Source organism: Homo sapiens, chromosome X, assembly GCF_000001405.40.
Source record: "Homo sapiens chromosome X, GRCh38.p14 Primary Assembly".
NCBI lineage: Eukaryota > Metazoa > Chordata > Mammalia > Primates > Hominidae > Homo > Homo sapiens.
The window spans coordinates 130,837,752-130,859,414 of NC_000023.11; the positions used below are offsets into that span (position 1 = coordinate 130,837,752).

General features: G+C 37.2%; 1 protein-coding gene across 17 annotated transcripts in view, besides 1 other annotated feature; it reads right to left on the reverse strand.

Annotated features, from left to right (window-relative positions):
* Positions 1–21,663, reverse strand: part of ENOX2 (ecto-NOX disulfide-thiol exchanger 2) — a 280,885-nt gene that overhangs the window by 215,427 nt on the left and 43,795 nt on the right. The window lies entirely within an intron of this gene.
* Positions 11,134–11,243: an enhancer, noted in NCBI's record as "active region_29945". NCBI's record gives its function as "activates an Ori minimal core promoter by ATAC-STARR-seq in GM12878 lymphoblastoid cells {active_cell/tissue: GM12878}" and the evidence as "EXISTENCE:reporter gene assay evidence [ECO:0000049][PMID:35858748]".

Genomic DNA, 21,663 nt, shown 5'->3' on the forward strand with positions numbered 1-21,663 from the left:
CAATAGTACCTACCTCATAGGATTGCAATTAAACAAGTTAACACAAATCAAGTACTTAGCACAGTCCCTGGTACAAAATAAGTGCTCAGTAAATATCAGCTCTTGATCTTACTGCTAATATTACTGCTACATTTACAACTGCTACTATCACTACTAAGGATACCCTCTGGAGTGACACATATCAATCTTCAATCCTCTTGTTCATATCAGCTCTTCAAATATTTGAAGACTCCTATCCAAAGCATGAGCTTCAAAGGTATGCATCTCTCTGCTTTATATTAACTCTGTATTAGGCAAGTTATCTGATACCTTCAAATCAGACACTTTGAAAGCAGATAACACCTACTATCCTGGCATGATGGCTCATGCCTGTAACCCCAGCACTTTGGGAGGCTGAAGTGGGCGGATCACTTGAGGTAAGGAGTTATGAGACCAGCCTGGCCAACATGGTAAAACCCCGTCTCTGCTAAAAATACAAACATTAGCCGGGCATAGTGGTGCATGCCTGTAATCCCAGCTACTTGGGAGGCTGAGGCAGGAGAATCGCTTGATCCAAGGAGACAGAGGTTGCAGTGAGCCGAGATCGCGCCACTGCATTCCGGCCTGGGGGACAAGAGCGAAACTCTGTCTCAAAAAACAAACAAAAAAGAAACCAACAACAACAAAAAAGAAGATAACTCCTACTGTACAGGGTGGCTGTGAGAATAAGAAGAGATAATATACGCAAAGTGCCTGGCACAAAAGAGGTACTTAAAAATATGTCAGTTCCCTTCCCCTTCTCCATTCCTAAGTTTTTTCTTTTCTAGACACTAAAAGCCCAATATCTAACCTTTCTTTACATGGTAGTGTTTTCCAGCCCCTGGCCATCTTTGTTTCATTCTAGTCTGTCAAGTATCTTTCTTAAGAAGTAGTTCCCAGAATGATAGAAAGCATGATTTTAGGTATGGCCCAAGTATGCCATGCAGAGTAGACTGTTCCTTAATCTCGAGAAGATAAAGCTCAACTCAAGGCACATGTGGTCAAGGTAGGGGTCACATATAGTCTCTTATCACTATGATATTTTTTGTTCATTGATTTCCTTTTTTCCTGGCCCATAGGCTAATGAGTGATAAATTCCATCAGAAATTCAAGTTACTTACTGAATCAGAGGAGTTGCACTGGCCTGCTCCTGTAGCTCTTTCCTAGGACTCTGCTTTCTTAGCAGTTGGGATACATACACAATGCAGTGAATCTAATTCCTGCCACACACACTAAGGGGCATTGCCGCCAAAGTGTCTCTTGCAATCCATTTTATGTGGTTGCTTTCCAAGGCAACTTACTGAATTAAAAAGATAATAAATTTAATCTTGTTGGTTACTACTGATTAAGCATCTCAAGTCATGTAAAGAGGTAGAGTTCATGCTTTGGAAGTGTAATATTGGAGTTCAGTTTTCACCTTTCTGATTTTCTGGAGGCAGTAAAGAATACTGAGAAGATCACTAATTGAGTCAAGGAACTTGAGATCAAGCCCTATCTATGCCACTAACCTACCTAGTGTTTGAACATGGATCAGTCATTTAACCTATTTGGATCACGGTTTCCTCATTCATAAAATGAGGGTGTTGGACTACTTAAGTTTTAATATCTCTTCTGGGTCCAATAATGTATAGTTCTATTCTGTAGCCTTATGGTTAAGGTATTATATCTTCCCACACCATACTTAATTGCTTTTTAAATCAGGTTATTGCTGAGGAATAGCCCGGGAAAAATGGGAGTTTTAAACAACTTTTATAATTTTAATAGAGAACTGAAATAGTTGAATATTTCTCTTCCTAACCTCTTGCTTAAATAATTTTAAAACAGTTAATTAAATTATGCTTTACAAAGATTATCATTATATATCCAAGCTGAAGGGGAAAGTTCAACATTTACAATTGAGTTACAACAGAGGGCTGTATTGAGCAAGACCATTTATAATGTATTAACTATAAGAAATGGAACCTGAACTTTAGTAGACAACCATACTCCTCACAGCTCAAGACCTAGTAATATGTTGTAAAAAAGTCTGAGAACTATATTGCCCATGACTTTGGATCAGCAATCATACAATAAATATGTTTAAAATTTTTGTTATTAATTTAAATCTTAATGTAGTCATCAAAACTACTGTCAGGTAATGCCTTTTTGCCTCTAGTGCATGTAAAACTATCGGTTTATGAGAGAATTTCAATGTATGGGCTGACATCTTGGATAGGCTCTACTCTTTTTTACAATCCTCTCAGAAAACAGTCTATATTTCATCCTACCTCTGTCTCTCCATTTCTATAAAATGGAGGAATTTTTCTCTCAAAATCACAGTAAGCATTAAATAAGGTGAAATGTATTTTAAATGCCCTATAAATTAAAAATATCCTGGTCATCTTATTATCTTGTAACTATTTAACTTATGTTTTAAGTAGCACAGATTTATAGAGAGCATATCACCAATGAAGTATTACTGTGCAAGTGAATTTTAGATGAAGTACAGATACATTTTTTAAGAAAAATATACAGATTATTTACATTTGAGCTATAACACCATTATGCCTTATGTTCAAATTATTAGAAAATTATAGGCCAAAAATACTGTTGAAATTAAAATGCATTCTATATACTCTATGGTTAAACAACTCACAACCAATTAAATCAACGTGAAGAAACCAATAATAATTATTAAAAGCTAGAGTAGGAGCAACAAAAAGCAACAACCAACTCAATGCACACTTATAATACAAGATTTTCTCTCTTTTAAAAAATAAATAAATAAATAAATAAATAAATAAATAAATAAATAAAACAGTCTATTAAAACCCTTGGCCGGGCATGGTGGCTCATTCCTGTAATCCCAGCACTTTGAGAGGGCAAGGCATGTGGATTCCTTGAGTCTAGGGGTTCAAGACCAGCCTGAGCAATATGGTGAAAACTTGTCTCTAAAAAAAATACAAAAATTAGTCAGGCTTGGCAGTGCATGCCTGTAGTCTCAGCTACTTGGAAAGCTGAGGTAGAAGGATTGCTTGAGCCCAGGAAGTTGAGGCTGTGGTGAGCTGTAATCACACCACTGCACTCTAGCCTGGGTGACAGTGCAAGACCCCATCTCAAAAAACAAACAAACAACTTCTTACTTTGCTCAATGAGACCTACAGATACACAGCCCAACTGAAATCTTAAGAATCAACACTGGTTATTCTTATTAATAAAAACTGTTCTATAAGACAGTGATAGAATCTGTTTCGTTTTGGCTTCTAATTGGAGAAACACCATACTGAGTCATGGGCCATGTTCTGGATTCTGACAGTGGCATCACTGGATTGTTTTAGAGGAGAACACGGTCCTTTTCCTCTATGAATATGCTCTTGAATGTTAAGAATATTTAGTAAAACACACAAACACACACACACATTTGCAGGGTGGGAGTTACTGTATTATTTTGCAGAGTGTATTGTATTTGCTATCATCTACTTCTCTAATGGACTAAAAAGGTAGCAAATATGAAAATAAGAAAACCACAAAGAAGCCCCATTTTTCTACATTCTGGCATTCTTCAGTTAGATTCAGCAGTGGCTAAAAGATAACACAGTGGAGGAGGGGGAAACCTTGGATTACCACAGCATCATTTATACTGATATTTCCAAAGGTCATAAGAATTTAGGACCAGGCTCGCTTCCCACCCTTAGTTCACTCCAACATGGCCATTGCTTCCATGATGACATGATTTCCCAATAATCCTTTACAGGGCTAGAGAGGAATAAACAGCAGAATTTCCAAAGGCCTATGTTATTACTTTGCTTTCCCCAGGTGGGATCCTTGTTGCTGTCCCTCAACTGTGACTGAGAGCCACTACACAGCAGATGGTTAAGAAAAGAGGACTAAAGTTTAAATTAACAACCATCACCAACCAACATTAAGCCTCCCTTTGAAACAACAGGAACTGTGAAATCTGAGTCTACATTTCTGTTGAAGGGCAACAAAGCAGGGCCTTCTATGGGAGACAGCATTTACTGTCTTTTTAACATAAATACATCAAGCTAGAATACATCAAGAAGAAGATAATAGTGCATCACTAATTCAGTAATTGTCACAGGACTCTTTCCTTCTCCTCAATTAAACAGTTAACAGGGAGCTGGGATTCACACAAAAAAAGAAATTCGCTCCTCCTCCCCTCTTTTCCAATTTGATTTATGCATAGCCCCTGGAGACACAAATTAATGTCTTCATAGACCAAAAGCCCCAGCTGTTTTGAAAAATCTATGACAAAGCTTAACTAAGGTTCACACATGCAAACATAAAGCCCCCATAATTACTAAGTTGGGTATTACAAAGCTGGCTCCTCAACCAAGGGTCTAAAGCCAGCCGTAATGCCGTGCTCACCCCAGCCAGGCTGGCCTTAATACACCTATAGTGCTAATTTAGTACTGCCTGAGGCATTGTGGATTCTGGGTAGATAGACACTTTAAGCAAAGCTGAGGAAAAGATATAGAACTATAGGGACTTAAAACCACAATTCATCATTTATTAATATCAGACAGAAGCACTGAAAATATGCAAGACTTCATTTCTTATGTAGCTGATTCCTTTGGCTTATTTATTCTTTTTATGATAAGAAATCAGAAAATGAGATGATTAATTCAAAGAAAATACCAAAAGAAACTCTTAATGCCCTATCCATCCTTAAACGAACCAAAGGCACCCCACTCAGCTACTCTACCCCCTTGGAAGAATGTGGCCTGCATTTGCTCTTCCACTTCCTCTCCTCTCATCCACTCCTTAATCAATGCATTCTGAATTCTGTCCACAGTATTTTACAACAACCCTTTCAAAGGTCACTGAGACTCTTTGTTGCTAAAGCCAATGATCACTTTTCAGTCCTTATCTTATTCGTTCTCTCTGCAGCACTAAACTCTGCTAATTATTCCTACTTTCTTGAAACTCTCTCTTCCCTTGCCTTCTGTGATACCCCCTAACTCTTGGGTTTATCTTTCTCAGTTTTTTTTCATGAACTTCTCCTTTACCCATTTCTTAAGTGCCAGTGTTTTCTAGCATTCCATCTTTATGCCTCATTTATTCTTTCTCTAAAATCAGGGACTCTTAATCTGTACATCATGAGAGTTCATGGATACACCTCAAGAGGTCTGTGGACCTTCCTAAAATTGTATGCAGAATAGCAGAATAGTGTACGTAAATTTTATGGGGGAGAGGGTCTATAGTTTTCAGATTTCTAAAGGAGTTTTAGGCAAAGTCAAGTCTAAGGGCAACTAATCCTCAGATTAGCTCTAGGTGGCCCCGCAACTTCAAATCATATCACTATATATGCTGATAACTTTCAAATCTATATTTCTAATCCAGATTTTTCTCAGTGTGGGCATCCCATAAATACGTTTACTCAACAATCCTGATCTTCCTCTCGTGTTCTCCAAGTCAGTAAATGGCTCACACCCCACCTAGCTGCCCAAGCCAGAAACCTGGGAGTTATCCATATTCTTCCCTCTCTCCCATTCTCCATATCCAGTAACCGAGCCCTACGGACTCTACCTCCTATCTCACATGTGAACCTTCTCTCAATAACAAACATAATAATCTCAGTCCAGGAAGATTATTGCAATAACTGCCTCACATGTCTTCCTGCCTCCAACCAACTCTCTAGTTGCAGACAGAGTAATCCTTCCAAAAGACAAATATGATCATGTCACTCACTGACCTAAAAACTTTCCGGTGACTTCTTTATTGTTCATAGACTGCAGAACTTCAAACTTCCTGGCATGGTAAATAAGGTCCTTTACGACTTGGTTCCTGCATATCTCTACAGTCTCGTCCATACTCTATTGCTCAACAACCCCTTTAACCTCACCCCCACCCTGGCCCAATCCTTGACTACTTTATAATCTCTAGTCATACAAAACTATTTTTCAGTTCTAGCCTCAGGGATTTCATACACTTTAACATCACATCAGCCTGGAATACTTGTACCACCTTGGCCTGGGCAACTTCTGCCAGAAAGCTATCTCTAGCCACCTAAAAGAGAGTTAGGGGGTACCTCATATATGCTCCGATAGCATCCTACATGTGTAATCACATATCCTTCTGTATGTGATTCTCTATTTCTCTGCTTCTCTATTTCCCACTAGAGTTTGATGAATAAACTATAAGTTCCTTGAGGTCAGGGACCATTTGGTGTCCGTGGCACTTAGCACAGTGTCTGGTACATCATAGTTGGTTAATAAATATATGTTGATAAACTGAATGAATTAATGGGAAGAAAAAATTTTCAGAATTTTGACCCAGTACTGTTAATCCCCACAATCTTTGCCTTCAGCCTGGCATAGGAAACAAAACAGTGGACTCCAGAGAGGTCAGCTGCCTTAGACATTAACTCTATGAGCCTCACTTTCCACACTGTACAACTAAGAAAAAGTTCTGTATAATCTCTTATGGCTTGGCAATTCTGTAATTTGCTGCTTCCTTAACATATCTATTTCTCATCTCCCAAACCTCACTTAGTCCCTCCACCCGCTTCCCTACTCCCCCCTTGCCTGTCATCCAGATGGCACTGTGATGATCTGGTTGAGGCATTTGGAGACTGGTTGGGTAAAGGCCACTATATTTTGTGCATGTATCGTGTTCATGAGAGAGAGAAAGGGAAAGAGAAAGAGAAGGAGGAAGGGAGGGAAGAAAGAGAGATTGAGGCAATCATCTTTCCCTTCCCATTTCTATCCTTCGTAAAGAATACAGTTGGTCTTAGAGGTCCAATTTCAAAATGTTCATGATGTTAAATCGTTACACGATAAAAAATTCCTAAAATTGTTTAAGATCACTCAGAACAGAAAAAAAAGTAAGATAAAAGTTAAGGATAACCAAGTAGACACAAATTATCTTGAAAAAGCTGAATCGCAGTAACTTGACACAGTTTTTTGGAATAAGGCTTACTAAACATTGAAAAGGAAGGGAGATATGTTATTTGAAAGGAAATACAGCCTGAACTTCCCTGGTCAAGAGAGGTGGAGGAATCGTGGCTCCAGAAGCATCTGAAGTTACTGCAAAGCTATGGAAACATGTAACAATAATAACCAGCACTAAGAATATAATAATGCAAGGACCAATTGTCTGCTGGTCCCTGGGGGAGGAACCAGATGGCATAAAAGACCAATTCTCATCTCTTAATTTCTTTGATTGATAAGAAGGATACGCTTCCATTTAGTTCTCATAAACAGTGACCCCTTTTCTCCTCTGTGGACAAAGTTGATGCACTATCACTTTTGCTTCCAGATATTAAACTCATATTTAATGATATGTGTGCTTGGTAATGCATATGTCCAAAAACTTTCACTGACAAAAATGGCCCTGCATGCATCTATTTGTCTTTCAGTTGCTGCACACAAATGCAGCAGGGAAGTGGGGAATTTAAATGCACAGCAGGCAGCCAATGTATTTTTCCATAAACTAGTCTACATATCATGGTAAGAGTAGAAGCAAAGAAAGCCTCAGATGCATTCTTTCCCATAAAGAGGCAAATGAAGCCAAAGGACAGGGTAGTAAGAAAGAAAATCAAAGGCTAAAATGAGATTACTAGTACATACCCTTTTAAAAACAAATCAGAAGAACCATTATCCTTGCCAACATTGAAGATGGGTTAAGCTCTTTCAGTGCAAAGAAGAGTGTATTCTTCCTATTGTAAACAAATCCAATAGTTTTGTTTGTTTGTTTGTTGGTTTGTTTTTCGAGACAGAGTTTCACTCCTGTTGCCCAGGCTGGAGTGCAATGGCGTGATCTTGGCTCACCGCAACCTCTGCCTCCTGGGCTCAAGCAATTCTCCTGCCTCAGCCTCCTGAGTAGCTGGGATTACAGGCATGTGCCACCACACCCGGCTAATTTTGTATTTTTAGTAGAGACAGGGTTTCTCCATGTTGGTCAGGCTGGTCTCGAACTCCCGACCTTAGGCAATCTGCCCACCTTGGCCTCCCAAAGTGCTGGGATTACAGGCATGAGCCACTGCACCTGGCCAACCAATACTATTTTTAACATGGTTAGATAGATGTCATTTCACTTCAGAAGTGGTTATGCTTCGGTAATGGATAGAGTTAGTATATCATGTAAAAGGTTAAGAAGCAAAACAAGAATATTTAAAATAAGTAGTAATGTACAGAAAAAAAGAAAACTTTCACAACGTGCATTGTGCTTGCTGGTCTTGAATATCATAAAACTTTGATAGAAAAACACATATATTTGTAGGGCTCCTATACAAATTCCTGCTATATCTCACTTATAAATACACAAATATATCATTATATTTTCATATAGTATAACATATGATAGCCAGGCAGAGATCAGGGGTCAGGAAAGCTCACCTGAGTCACTAGACTAATGAAGTAGGAAGAAACCACAAGAGACTACGGAAGATCAGGTTGAGAAATCAGGGTCTAACAAAGGGGTCAGTCTTTGAAATTAAAAACTTTATATGGGAATACAGACTATAGGTGTGCCCTACTTTAAGAAAATCCACTGTTTCCTTATCCAATCCACAAACCAGAAAAGCAAGAGTGCTTATGTGTATTACAGAAGCACTCCATGTGGCAATTTTTTTTTTTTTTTTTGAGACGAAGTTTCCTTCTTGTTGCCCAGGCTGGAGTGCAATGGCATGATCTCGGCTCACCGCAACCTCTGCCTCCCGGATTCAAGCGATTCTCCTGCCTCTGCCTCCTGAGTAGCTGGGATTACAGGCATGTGCCACCACGCCCGCCTAATTTTGTATTTTTAGTAGAGACGGGGTTTTTCCATGTTGATCAGGCTGGTCTCGAACTCCTGACCTCAGGTGATCTGCTCGCATCAGCCTCCCAAAGTGCTGGGATTACAGGCATGAGCCACTGCGCCCAGCCGGCAATCTTTTACAATGCTAAGCTAACATTGTACATGCAAGTAAGATTTGTTTCTACAAATATGGAATTTATATGTTCAGTTTATCAGAAGCACATTTTCGGTACAAAGTGAGGTATCCATGTACCATCAACCTTCATGTGGACTTGCTTTTGATTTTTCTTTTATAAATCTGAATTTTAGCATACTGTCTCCTTAAAAGTTAGAATGCCTGTACTGTGGGAAATAGGCAGAGAGAAAAAATCCATACTTCATAAGCAGAAAGCTGAAACTATGTCCAACCAGTCCCTATTGAGGAAGTAGAGTTTTTCCCACAAAAGTGAATGGGGAAACATTCTTGAAACATCTTAAAGCCCTAAGGCCAAATTCAGGAGGCTGTAATAAATGAGAAGTAGGAAGTCCCCAGAAATCTCCTGAAAAGGTTGAATTGTATTATTTATATTTGTAACGAAATGTGTTTTCACGTTTGTGTTAAAGATGAATCTCTGGGGTGAGTTCAGCCTGAGGTAAGCATTGAGGTCTAGTTTAATGGAGGATGAAGTGTTTTTTTTTTTTACACTATATTTAAGCATTGGTCAGATATACTTAAGACCTATGAATAAATAAATATAAATAGGATTGCTTTAAGGAACTCCTGAGACTGTCTGTGGTTGTCTATTCATATTAATATATAAGCATAATTTCTAGTTGTGCTACTAGTGGCATCCATCTGTACATTATATTTCTAGAAAAATGTTACAAGTTTGTAAAAATATATTATTCTACTGCATAGAGCACCTAGTTATTAATTTCACTTGTGATTGATGTTGCCTTGAATCCAATTATAAAAAACAATTAAGCTGCTATATTAGCAGAGTGGTATCTATTAGGTGACCTCTAAGGAAAAAAGGCCAGATGACAAAGGATCCATAGAAAAATCAGGACTAAAACCTAGACAGTTGTCTATTCTTCTGCCTAACCCAGACACATATCATAAAGAAGAATCTATGTACATCAACAGTATAAAACTTTCACTCAGTAACAGAACAAATTTAAACCAGCTGTTGTGAAACTAATATCTGCACTCCTACGGTGAATGATTAAAGTCAATAAATGTTTGTTGACTGACCATGATACAAACTATTGTTGTACATTATATAATGTTCAATGATTCTATTGTGTTAAAGATAAAAGTCACTCTAAGTATGTAAATCCTAGTTCCAGTATTATTCTAGGCTAGGAGATCAGCTTTCAGTCTAATAACTTCAGACAAGTTTTAGTTACAGTCTCATGACCACAAATTATCTAATAACCCCAGTTTCAAAGCTCTCTAAAAATAGCCTGGTCATCTACTATCTGGAAAATGATGAAACTGGTCTTGGTTTCTCCAAACCTCTAGGGTTTTTTTGTTGTTGTTTTTGTTTTTGTTTTTGTTTTGAGATGGAGTCTCGCTCTGTCGCCCAGGCTGGAGTGCAGTGGCGCGATCTCGGCTCACTGCACAAACCCCTAGGTTTTAAAAATAACTGTACAATAAATATGATTACATATAGTTAGAAGATCTTATGCATATAAAGAGCCATCGTTCAATTTATCAATGTCATTAAATAAAGATGAACACCTGAAAAGATTGAATTACAGATTCTCAGTACATAATGCCAAAATCTACACCACAATAAATACACTACTCAAGAAAAAGTCATCTATGAGGGAAAAAAAAAGCAGAGAGTAAAAGAAAACTGTGCAAGTACCCTTAAATCAAATATTGTAAATCTAGCATGAACTTTTAAAAAGTGGAGGTCCTATTTTTTTACCAAATGGAGAATGGATTTCTACCTTTGAGTTCTAAACTCTCTTTGTAATACTTTTCTCTATTAATAAGGTGCTAATAAGACAGAAGTAAAATCAACCCAAAGCAAAAATAAACCAGAAAAACAAACAAAATCTAATTCTATCTGGCCACAAAGCCAATTTTCTCCCTCCCATTGCACTGGCAACAGCAGTAGCAGCAGTGGCTGATGGCAGCAGACCCTTCCTAAAGCAATCTTATATTTGCACCAGAGAGAACATTCTGGCCAAATTGGTCCTAGAAGATGTGTCTGCAAGATGTAAAAAACTGCAATCCCAGTGAACCAAGATTGTGCCACTGTACTCCAGCCTGGGCGACAGAGTGAGACTGTCAAAAACAAAACAAAGCAAAACAAAACAAACAAAAAAAAACCAAAAAAAAACTGCAATCCTAAATGATCTCTCCTTGAGGAAAGATGAAAATCTTTGTCAGTAATATTAGGTAACCTGGGCTGGAGAAGATGTCCAACTGCAAAACAGTGAGTAGGCAACAGGTGAGGAAAAGGAAAAGGAAACCAACTAAGCCCAAAGAAACCATAGCAAGAAGCTGAAAGCACTAGTTAAAATGAAACTCGCATCTGTAGAGAAGCAGTGAGAAGGATAAATCAACTAATGGCTCAATTATACTTTTAAAGCCATCAGTCAAACAAACAAAAAACCCAACTGAACTTTTAAAACCATTTTTAGTACAACTTATATTTCACAGTTATTTATTTTCTTAATCTTAACAATAAACAACTGTTGTTACATAATTAAAGATACAAGGTAAAGGGATTTAAGTGGCAGCTTAAGCTAGCTAGTTAAGTTAGTTAAGCTGTAAGTTAGAACTACCTATATATGTTCCAGTTTTCACACTCAGTCCATCCCAAGGACTGTAGTCAGAGACTAAAGACAAGAAAGATGTTTGAAGGGATGGTGGGGTGGAGGGGAGACTATGAGAATAGAATAAAAGGATTAGAGTGCTTTAATCTGGAAAGATAAACAATCAATCAAGAATAACCACCACCATACAACCATCACCATTAAGCACCTACTGTGTGACAGTCACTTTGCTAAGTGCCGAGATATTGAATTATGTCCAAGAAGAGAAGAAGTGTTGTCAAAGTGGATTTTAACATTCTTTCTTTCAGTTATGCTCTCTGTGTCAAGCATTGGGCTGGTCATGGAACAGTTGTGAAGCAGGAAACAGCAGAATGTCGTGGAAAGAACCCCAGATTGGAAATTAGAAGATTTAGGTTTTAGTTCTAAGAGCATTATTAACTATATGTATGACCTTGAACAAATCACTCAACCTTTTTAGGCCTATCTTATGATAGAGATGTTGGACCTGTCAGCGGATTCCAACTTTTTTTTAGCAGCCAACCCTTTATTCAAAAGACAACTTACAGGAATATCCTACACATAAAAGAGCTGAAAGTAGAAATCTTATGCTTGAAGCACAGGGAAGGTCATAACAGGCTCATAAGCCTTCTCCTGGGCCTCTCCTTCTCCCTGAACCAGTCTTACATGCATCTATACAGATGCCTTCATGGATCCTGTGAACACAGTTTGAAAATCTATGGGCTAAATCATCTTTAACAATTCCCTCTAGATCTAATATCCTATGACTGTGAAATTTTCCTCACCTACATCTTCAATAGCCTTTATTCAATTCAGTCCAACATGTTGAATATCTAGAATCATAGAAAGCACATGACAGGATTTCTACCATAGAAGAGCTCACCATCTTTTTGGGGAAAACAAAATAAATAAAATGGGAATGCACTTGAGGGGAAGGGGGGCTTTAAGCAGCAGGACACCATCAAGGGCCCATTGGAATAGAAAGTCCACTTCTGTATCTTTTTTATGAGTGTATCATCAGTGCCTGGGGCAACAGACATTCAAATAAACATTGAATAAATAAATAATGAATTTATGGATGGATGGGTGAAGTTATTATTAATCATGTTCACTGAAATTCAGCAAAAAGGTATAAAGTACTTTCCATATTTTATAGAATTTTTTTCTTATATGTACAGGGTTATAAGAAAAGCCATCAAATTTCTCCATTATTCATTCTATTATTTACTACCCACAATTACAAATGGTGATATTAGAATAAAAACAAAGCAAAAAAGTACACCCATTAAGTTAGCATCCTCCTTGAATCAGCAGAACAAATAAAGGCAAAATTCTACTCAACCATATGAAATAAAATTTTGTGGGAGCAAATCATCAGACTGAATTTTGCTTTGCCAGGAAATTTTTCTTTCAACGAACACGTTTTATATGTTTACATTCACATGCTGCAAGTAAGGAAGTCTCCAAAGTAGGTAAATCAAGTTAAAAACAAAGGCTATTTTCTCTGCCCCCTATTCCACTACTAGTGGGAAGAGAGCAGGGAGATCAAGAAGGCAGCAGCTGCTTTCCTTTTTCCCCCCAAACTTAAATTCCATCCAATAAGATATGTTTTGTCTTTTTGCACTCAAAGTCAGCCAGCAGGCACTTAAGTGAAATTAAGAACAACTGCACCAATGGCAGATAATTTGATGGAGAGCTTATTGGAGACAGCTCATTTGAGTAAAAGCTTTGCCTGTTCAAGAAACAATATAATTTCTGAAGGAAATCTTTCTGGAAAGGGCCAGGTGGCTCTGTAATTTTATGGCTCAGGTGATATCAGTTATCCAGGACAAGTGTTGTACATGACTAATATTCTCAAACCAGAATTGTATTTCCCCAGAAAGCTATTACATTTAAAAAGACATTAAGGTGAACTTAAATTCCATTTTTGTTTTAGCCTAGCCCTAATTTTTATTATGATATACTATATACTATTCCTTTTTTGAATATGCCTTATAAATGGATATATATTTTTTGGGTTCAAGTGATTCTCCTGCCTCAGCCTCCCAAGTAGCTGGGACTACAGGCAGATGTCACCATGCCTGGCTAATTTTTGTATTTTTTGTAGAGATGAGGTTTCACCACGTTGCCCAGGCTGGGATAAATGGATGTATTTTTTTTTTCTTTTTTTTCCTTTTTTTTTTATTATACTTTAAGTAAATGGATGTATTTTTATAAAACAGCTTTCTTTTTTCAATCTATGGTGCCTGATACCTGAGTTGCTTAGAGAGATATCGAACTAATAGATGAAATGAGAAACATCTTATCCCTTTCTAGTCTTCCTCCAAGATACAATGACATCTTAGGGAAAAGGTAGCATCCTTTTCTCTGTTCTAACAAATGTAGACAGCCCAGTCAATGTGTGGCTCCACAGATAGCTACAACAAAAGTCATACTGAGGAGGATAATACGGCAGGGTTCTGACCACACAGTATGACATCACTGCTTTCTTCTATTCATTTTAGCTATTCCCCTGTAAAATCTGGATTCAATTCAATGTCTTCAGTTTCATTTGGAAGATCTACATTTGGAATCGATCCAGTTAGTCCAGGGGCCACATGAATTTTAATGCACCTGGGGCAGCTGGCCAAACTGTCATTTGCTTCTATCATCTAAGCAAAATGTGGAAATTTCTAGTCAAGACTTTTCCAATTTTCAATTTACCACCTTCTCATCAGAGGGCTACAACTGCTGTTTTCAGAAAGACCTTGCCCCTATCCTAGGACAAGAAATATGACTTAGATGAGAAAAAAAAGAAGAAGCAAAGAAAGAAAACAGAAGTTATTTTCTTCCTTTCACACATTTTGGCCTAAGTTTGGTGTATATATCTAATCTAATGTTATTGTCTAGTAGCATATGAGTTGGTTAAAATTCTTTACACTAAGTACCCAGAATTTTCTATTCTTTCTTCTCTCTTCCACCCAAATCTCTTGTGACGTATTTATTCATTCAATTGGCCAAAATATTTATTTAGAGCCTACTATATGCCAATGACTTTTCTAGGCAATGGGAATACAAAAGTGAACAAAACACAGCCCATGCACTTATAGAGCTCTGACACTTTCCAAGGAGAGAGACAGTGAACAAATCCATAGATACAAAATAGAGAATCATTAGTCATATGAAAAATAAAATATCACATAGTGATAAGTGATATAAAGAAAATAAAGCAGGGCAAACATATCCAGAATGGTCATAAAGGCCATTCTGAAGAGGTGAAATTTGAGCATGGCTTTAAATGAAATGAAGACTTGTCTTGATTTTTCTTTGTATTCAAAGGAAACCCAGGAAGAGGTCACTAAAATTACTGTGTCCTGAGTTGGAAGTAAAAACAGTCATGGAGTTGAGACATTTGAAAAATACCATCAAGATATTCAAGGATGTCATAATCAAGCTGAAGATCATCTACTAACGTCAACTAAATGATTGAAGGGATGAAAAATGGCTGAGAAGGGACATAATTGAAATATACCATTTCAATGACCATTATGAACATTATGTACGGGAGATCATAATAGGACAACTCCCTATTTAAAGTGGTGAATTACAACAAAAAAAATATATCTGAGTCTCTAGTTTCAAGACAAGACAGCATAGTTGCACATCTCTCTATTTCTCCCATTAAGTACAGCTAAAAACTTGGACATTATATATAAGACAAACATAAGAACATTTTCAAAGGTGGAGAAAAAAAGTAGACTTACTAGGGACTTTGAGACCCAGGGAATGACAAAGTGGTGAATTCCCTGGGTATTTTTTTTTTACTATATATATCCCAGACCAGGTATTGGTAAAACCAGCAACCTAGAAATGCCAATGGGCAGAGGGAAAAAAAAAGCCTCAAGAAAGCCAGCTTTTGGCCGGGCGCGGTGGCTCACGCCTGTAATCCCAGCACTTTGGGAGGCCGAGGCGGGCGGATCACGAGGTCAGGAGATGAGACCAAGGTGAAACCCCGTCTCTACTAAAAATACAAAAAGTTAGCCGGGCGTAGTGGCGGGCGCCTGTAGTCCCAGCTACTCGGGAGGCTGAGGCAGGAGAATGGCGTGAACCCGGGAGGCAGAGGTTGCAGTGAGCCGAGATCGCGCCACTGCACTCCAGCCTGGGTGACAGAGCGAGACTCCGTCTCAAAAAAAAAAAAAAAAAAAAAAAGAAAGAAAGCCAGCTTTCTCTAGTCAAAGGACCAAGAAGGGGGAGTACAGCAAGACAGAAAACTTAAACAATAGCCAAACAACACAAGAAACTGCACCCCTAACCTCATCCCTATGAGCAAGCACTGAGTGAGGAAACCGGACTTCCACCTTCTCCAGGATCTAATGAGGTGTCCCAACCAACCTACGGGGGTGGTGTATCAAAGAAGGCCAAGTAGAGAGCTGGGTTTTTTTAAATCCCCAATCAGCAATGTCATAGGAATCAAGTGCTCCTCTCTATCAACCAGGGTGATGTCAGCAAAGGCCTAAAGGGGAGCTTCAACTTCCACTTCCAACAAGCAGTAATGAAGTTCCCCCACCCCCATTTCCTAGAGTTTCAATGGAGGCTGAGTGGAGAGTCTGTATTTCTACTTCCACATGGCAGTAATAAGGTAATGACCACTTCCCCTGCCAGCATGATGTCAGAAGAAACCAAGTAAAACAGAAGATTTAAATAAGATCCAGAGTCTTATAATACCCAAAATGTCAAGAATTAAATAAAAATCACTTATATCAAAAACCAGGGAAATATCAATTTAACAGAGGACACAAACACCAAGATGACACAGACGTTGAAATTATCTGACAAGTATTTTAGGCCAGCTGTTACAAAAATGCTTTAATGAGCAACTATGAACATACTTAAATTTAAAAATAGAAAGTTTCAGTAAAAATAAAAGATGTAAAGAAAAACCAAATGAAAAAATTAACACTAAAAATACAATAAACAAAAATTTAAAAATCCTGGATGGACTCAATAGTAGAATACAGACAGATGACAGAGGAAAGAATCAGTGGACTTGAAGATAGAACAATAGAAATTACCTAATATGAACAATAAAGAGAAAATAGAGTGAAAAATAGTAAACAGAGCCTCAAGGACGTGTAGCACAATAACAACAGATCTAACGTTTGTATGACTGAATTCTCAGAACAAGAGGAGAAGAATGGGTATTCAAAGAAATAATGGGTAAAAAGTTCAGAAATTTTACCAAAGACATAAACCTACAGAATCCAAAAGCTGAACTAACCCCAAATAGGACACACACACACAAATCTGCACCAATGCAAATAATTAAACTACTGAAAACTAAAGACAGTGAAAAAATATTGAGAGCAGCAAGAGAGAAACAACACATTTACCTATAAGAAAAAAAAAATTAGAATGATAGCAGATATATAAGAATAATCATACATCATGTCCAATTGAGGCTTATTACAGGGATGCAAGGCTGGATCAATATTCAAAAAATCAATCAATGGAATTCACCACATTAGCAGAATAAAGAAAAATTGCATTATATTAATTGATACAGAAAGGCATTTAAAAATTCAGCAGTGATTCACAATAAAATGTCTCGGAAAACTTATGAATAGAGGGGGAACTTCCTCAACTTGGTTAAAAGCATCTACAAAAAAAATCTATAGCTAACATCTTGGTGAAAGACTGAATACTCTTTCCTATTATTGGTAATAAGGCAAAGACATATCCTGTCACCATTCTTATTCAATACAGTACTGGGAGTTCTAGCCAGTGCACTAAGACAAGAAAAGGAAACAAAAGGCATACAAATTGGAAAGGAAGAAATAAAGTTCACTCTATTTGCAGGTGACATGAGGGTCTATGTAAAAAATCTCCTAGAACTAATTTGGAATTCAGCAAGGTGAGAGGCTATAATTAATACCAACTACAAAAATCAATTATATTTCTATATATTAGCAATGAATATGTGGACACCGAAATTAAAAATAACATACCATTTACAATTGTTCAAAAAAGAGAAATATGTAGGTATAAATCTTAGGTACTTAAGTATAAATCTTCGGTATAAATACTTAGGTATAAATCTAACGAAATGTGTACATAATTTATATGTTGAAAACTACAATAACGATGAAAAATAAAAGAAGACATCAATAAACGGAGACACATACTGCACTCAAGGATTGGAAGACAGAACATAGGAAAGATGGCAGTTCTCCCTCAAAATGACGTATTGGTTAAATGCAATATCCATCAAAATCCCAGCAAGATTTTTTTTCAGATAGAGACAAGCTTATTCTAAAATGTATATGCTAGACAAGCTTATTCTGAAATGTATGTGCCTAATCAAAGAAAGAAAAATCTTTGGGATCTAGGGCTTGCTCTAGACATGACACCAAAGTACAATCCATAAAAGAAAAAAAACAATACATTATTATTCATCAAAGTTTTAAACTTTTGCTCTGTCAGAGACTATTAAGTAGATGAAAAGACAAGCCACAGATTGGCAAAAATATATTTGTAAAGCACATATCTGACCAAAAAACTCATATACCTAGATTATATAAAAAGCTCTCAGAACTGAACAGTAAAAATATAACCAATTAGAAAGAAAGGTCAAAGGACATAAAGAGATATTTCATAAGGATGATATACAGATGGCACATAAACAGATGAAAAGATACTCAACATCACTAGCCCTCAGGGAAATGCAAATTAAGATCACAATGAGATATCACGCTCACCTATCACAGTACTAAAGTAAAAACAGTGACACCACCATATCCTGCCAAGAATGCTGAGAAACTATCATTTATATTACTGGTGGGAATGTAAAATGTCTCAGCTACTCTAGAAGTAGTTTGTCAGTATCATTTAAAAAAGTACAGAATGCCTTATCCACCATGATGGTATTACACGTAGCACCATTTTTGATCAAGAAAGTCATTTCACAGCAAATGAAGAATGGTAATGAGCCTTTGCTCGTGGAATTCACTAGTCTTGCCATGTTTCCCATCATGCTGAAGAAGCGGGTTTACTACAATGGTGGAATGGCTTTTTGAAGATTGAGCTACAGTACCAGGTAGGTGACAATGTCTTCCAGAGGTAATGTCTTTCAGGATGCTCTAAAATAATGTCCAACATATGGTGTTATTTCTCCAACAGCCAGGATTCATGGATTCTGTAATAAGTATTAGAGGTAAAAATGGGAGTGGCTTGATTCACTATTACTCCTAGTGATTCACAAGCAAATTTTGTGCTTTCTGTCACTATGACCTTAGGCTCTACTGGTCCAAAAGGAACTAAGTTCTTTTGGAACTTAGTGGTTCCAACGTTGAATATATAATTTCAACGTCTATATATATTCTTATATATCTTTTGGAACAAACTAAGGAACTCTTATTTCCAAAAGGAACTAAGGTTACAGTCCCTGGAACATTCTTCATGATAGACTCTATTCAAGTCCATAAAACAAGTCACAGTAAATTTGAAACTATTTAAATCATATAGAACATCTTCTTTGGCACAATGGAATTAAATAATAAGTCAATAACAAAGAAGTATCTAAAAAATATAAATAATATTTGGGTCAAAGAAGAAACCCCACAGGATATGTAAAAGTACTCAGCTGAATTAACATGACAACAGGCTATATCTAAATTTGTGAGATGGGGCAAAGCAGTGCGTAGAGTGGAATATATAGCAATAAGGGCTTATATGTTCATAGCAGACTTATTCATAATACAGAGAAAAATTGGAAAAAGCACAAATGTGTATTAACTGGTAAATGGATAAGCCAACTGTAGTTAATTCATATAATGGCACATTACTCAAAAATAAAAATGAACATACTACTGATAACGCTCAACAACATGGGTTAATCTAAAAAATAAAAATGCTAAGGGAAAAAAGTCAGAGACCAGAAAGCATAGAGTGTATGATCCCATGTATTTGAAACTTAGTAACAGACAACTAATTTATAGTGATAGAAGTCAAAAGAGTGGTTGCCTATGCAGACTGGAGATTGACTGGAAACAGTCATATAGAGAAACTTTCTGGTGAGATGAAAATAGTTTATGTTTTCATTATGGTGTTAACTACAAAGGTGTATGCATTTGTTTAAAGTCATCTCTAAAGTAGTCAAACTCACAGAAGCAGAGGATGGAATGCCAAGGGTTCTAAGGGCTGTGAGGAAAGTGAAACGGAGAAGTATTAGTCAAAGGGTATAAAGTTTCATTTATACAAGTCCTAGAGATCTACTGTACAACATAGCACCTACAGTTAACAATACTCATTGTATGCTTTAAATATTCCTAAGAGGGTAGATCTTATGTTAAGCTCTTATCCCCACATACACACAAATAATAAATAAGAGAACAGGAGGAAATTTTGGAGGTAATGGACAGACTTATGACATAGATAGAGGATGGTTTCATGGTGCATATAATTATCTCCAAACTCATCAAGTTATATATATTAATTATGTATAGTTTTATGTATGTCAAAAATATTAAGTAAAAAAGAATGCTGAATTCAATAAAAGTATTCCTTTAAACAGCAAAATGTAATTAGAAAACTCTTTTGTCTCAAATATAGAATTTTTTTAATTACAAATGAACAAATTTAAAAATATGTTAGATAAAATCACTGACAATAGATCCATAGGGACTACTGAAAGAAATTAGAATGTTTTTCCTCCCAGAAATACTACTACGCATTTGAGGTTGGTATTAGTGGGACATATGATGATTTCCTAATAAAGTCTTCTCAGAAACAGAATGCTGGATTGGCTAGATGACAGGTATACCTAATCATGGGCTTTTTCCTTTTTTTTTTTTTTTTTTTAGACGGAGTCTTGCTCTGTCGCCCAGGCTGGAGTGCAATGGCGCAATTTCGGCTCACTGCAACCTCTGCCTCCCCGGGTTCAAGCGATTCTCCTGCCTCAGCCTCCCAAGTAGCTGAGATTACAGATGCATGCCAGCACACCTGGCTAATTTTTGTATTTTCTGTAGAGATGGGGATTCGCCATGCTTTGGCCAGGCTGGTTTTGAACTCCTGACCTCAGGTGATCCGCCCGCCTCCGCCTCCCAAAGTGCTGAGATTACAGATGTGAGCCACAGCGCCCGGCCAATCATGGGCATTTTTACATTTCTACCTATGAAATAAAGCACACCGGGAAAAAAAGTCAAGCTTTATTCTTTTAGATTATGATAAATGTGCATTAAATACCTTTTTAAAGGTCCAGGATGACACTATCTTCTTTCTCCCCAAAGATACAAGCAAACATGAGTCTTCCCATAAGAACTTATTTTACATGGTATTGGTATCCTAGAGAGGTAAATGCAGTAACCTAACAAATTCAACTTGTGAGTATTGGCTGTATTACAGTAACTCAGATGTATATTGATTACACTGAGAGATACAATATTTGAGTGCTATCAAACCCACACCATATTGTTATTCTGCATGCTTCTCCTGCATCTGAGATGCAAATCAGTTATTCTGTCCCATAACTAGTTATATTAGAATTTTAAATTGAAGAATTGGAAACAATTCAAAGTTGTAGAGAAAAATTTATAACCCTCTAAACTGAAACTGACATACCCAGAGCAAGGAGAAAAAGTGACCCCTCATTTATTCATTCATTCATTCATTAAACACTTATTTACTGCCTACTATGTGTCAGACCCTATGTTAGGTGCCAAACATTTAAAGATGGGCAAGATACGATCACTGTCCTTTAAGAAATAACAGCCTGGCTGGGCACGGTGGCTCACGCCTGTAATCCCAGCACGTTGGGAGGCCAAGGTGGATCATGAGGTCAGCAGTTTGAGACCAGCCTGACCAACATGGTGAAACCCAGTTCTCTACTAAAAATACAAAAATTAGCCAGGTATGGTGGTGTGCACCTGTAATCCAAGCTACTCAGGAGGCTGACACAGGAGAATTGCTTGAATTGCTTGAACCCGGGAGGCGGAGGTTGCAGCAAGCTGAGATCGTGCCATTGCACTCCAGCCTGGGTGATAGAGCAAGACTCTGTCTCAAAAACAAAAACAAAACAAAACAAAACAAAAAAACAAAAAAAATCCTAAATGGGATAAACAGATAAACATAAAATGATTTTTA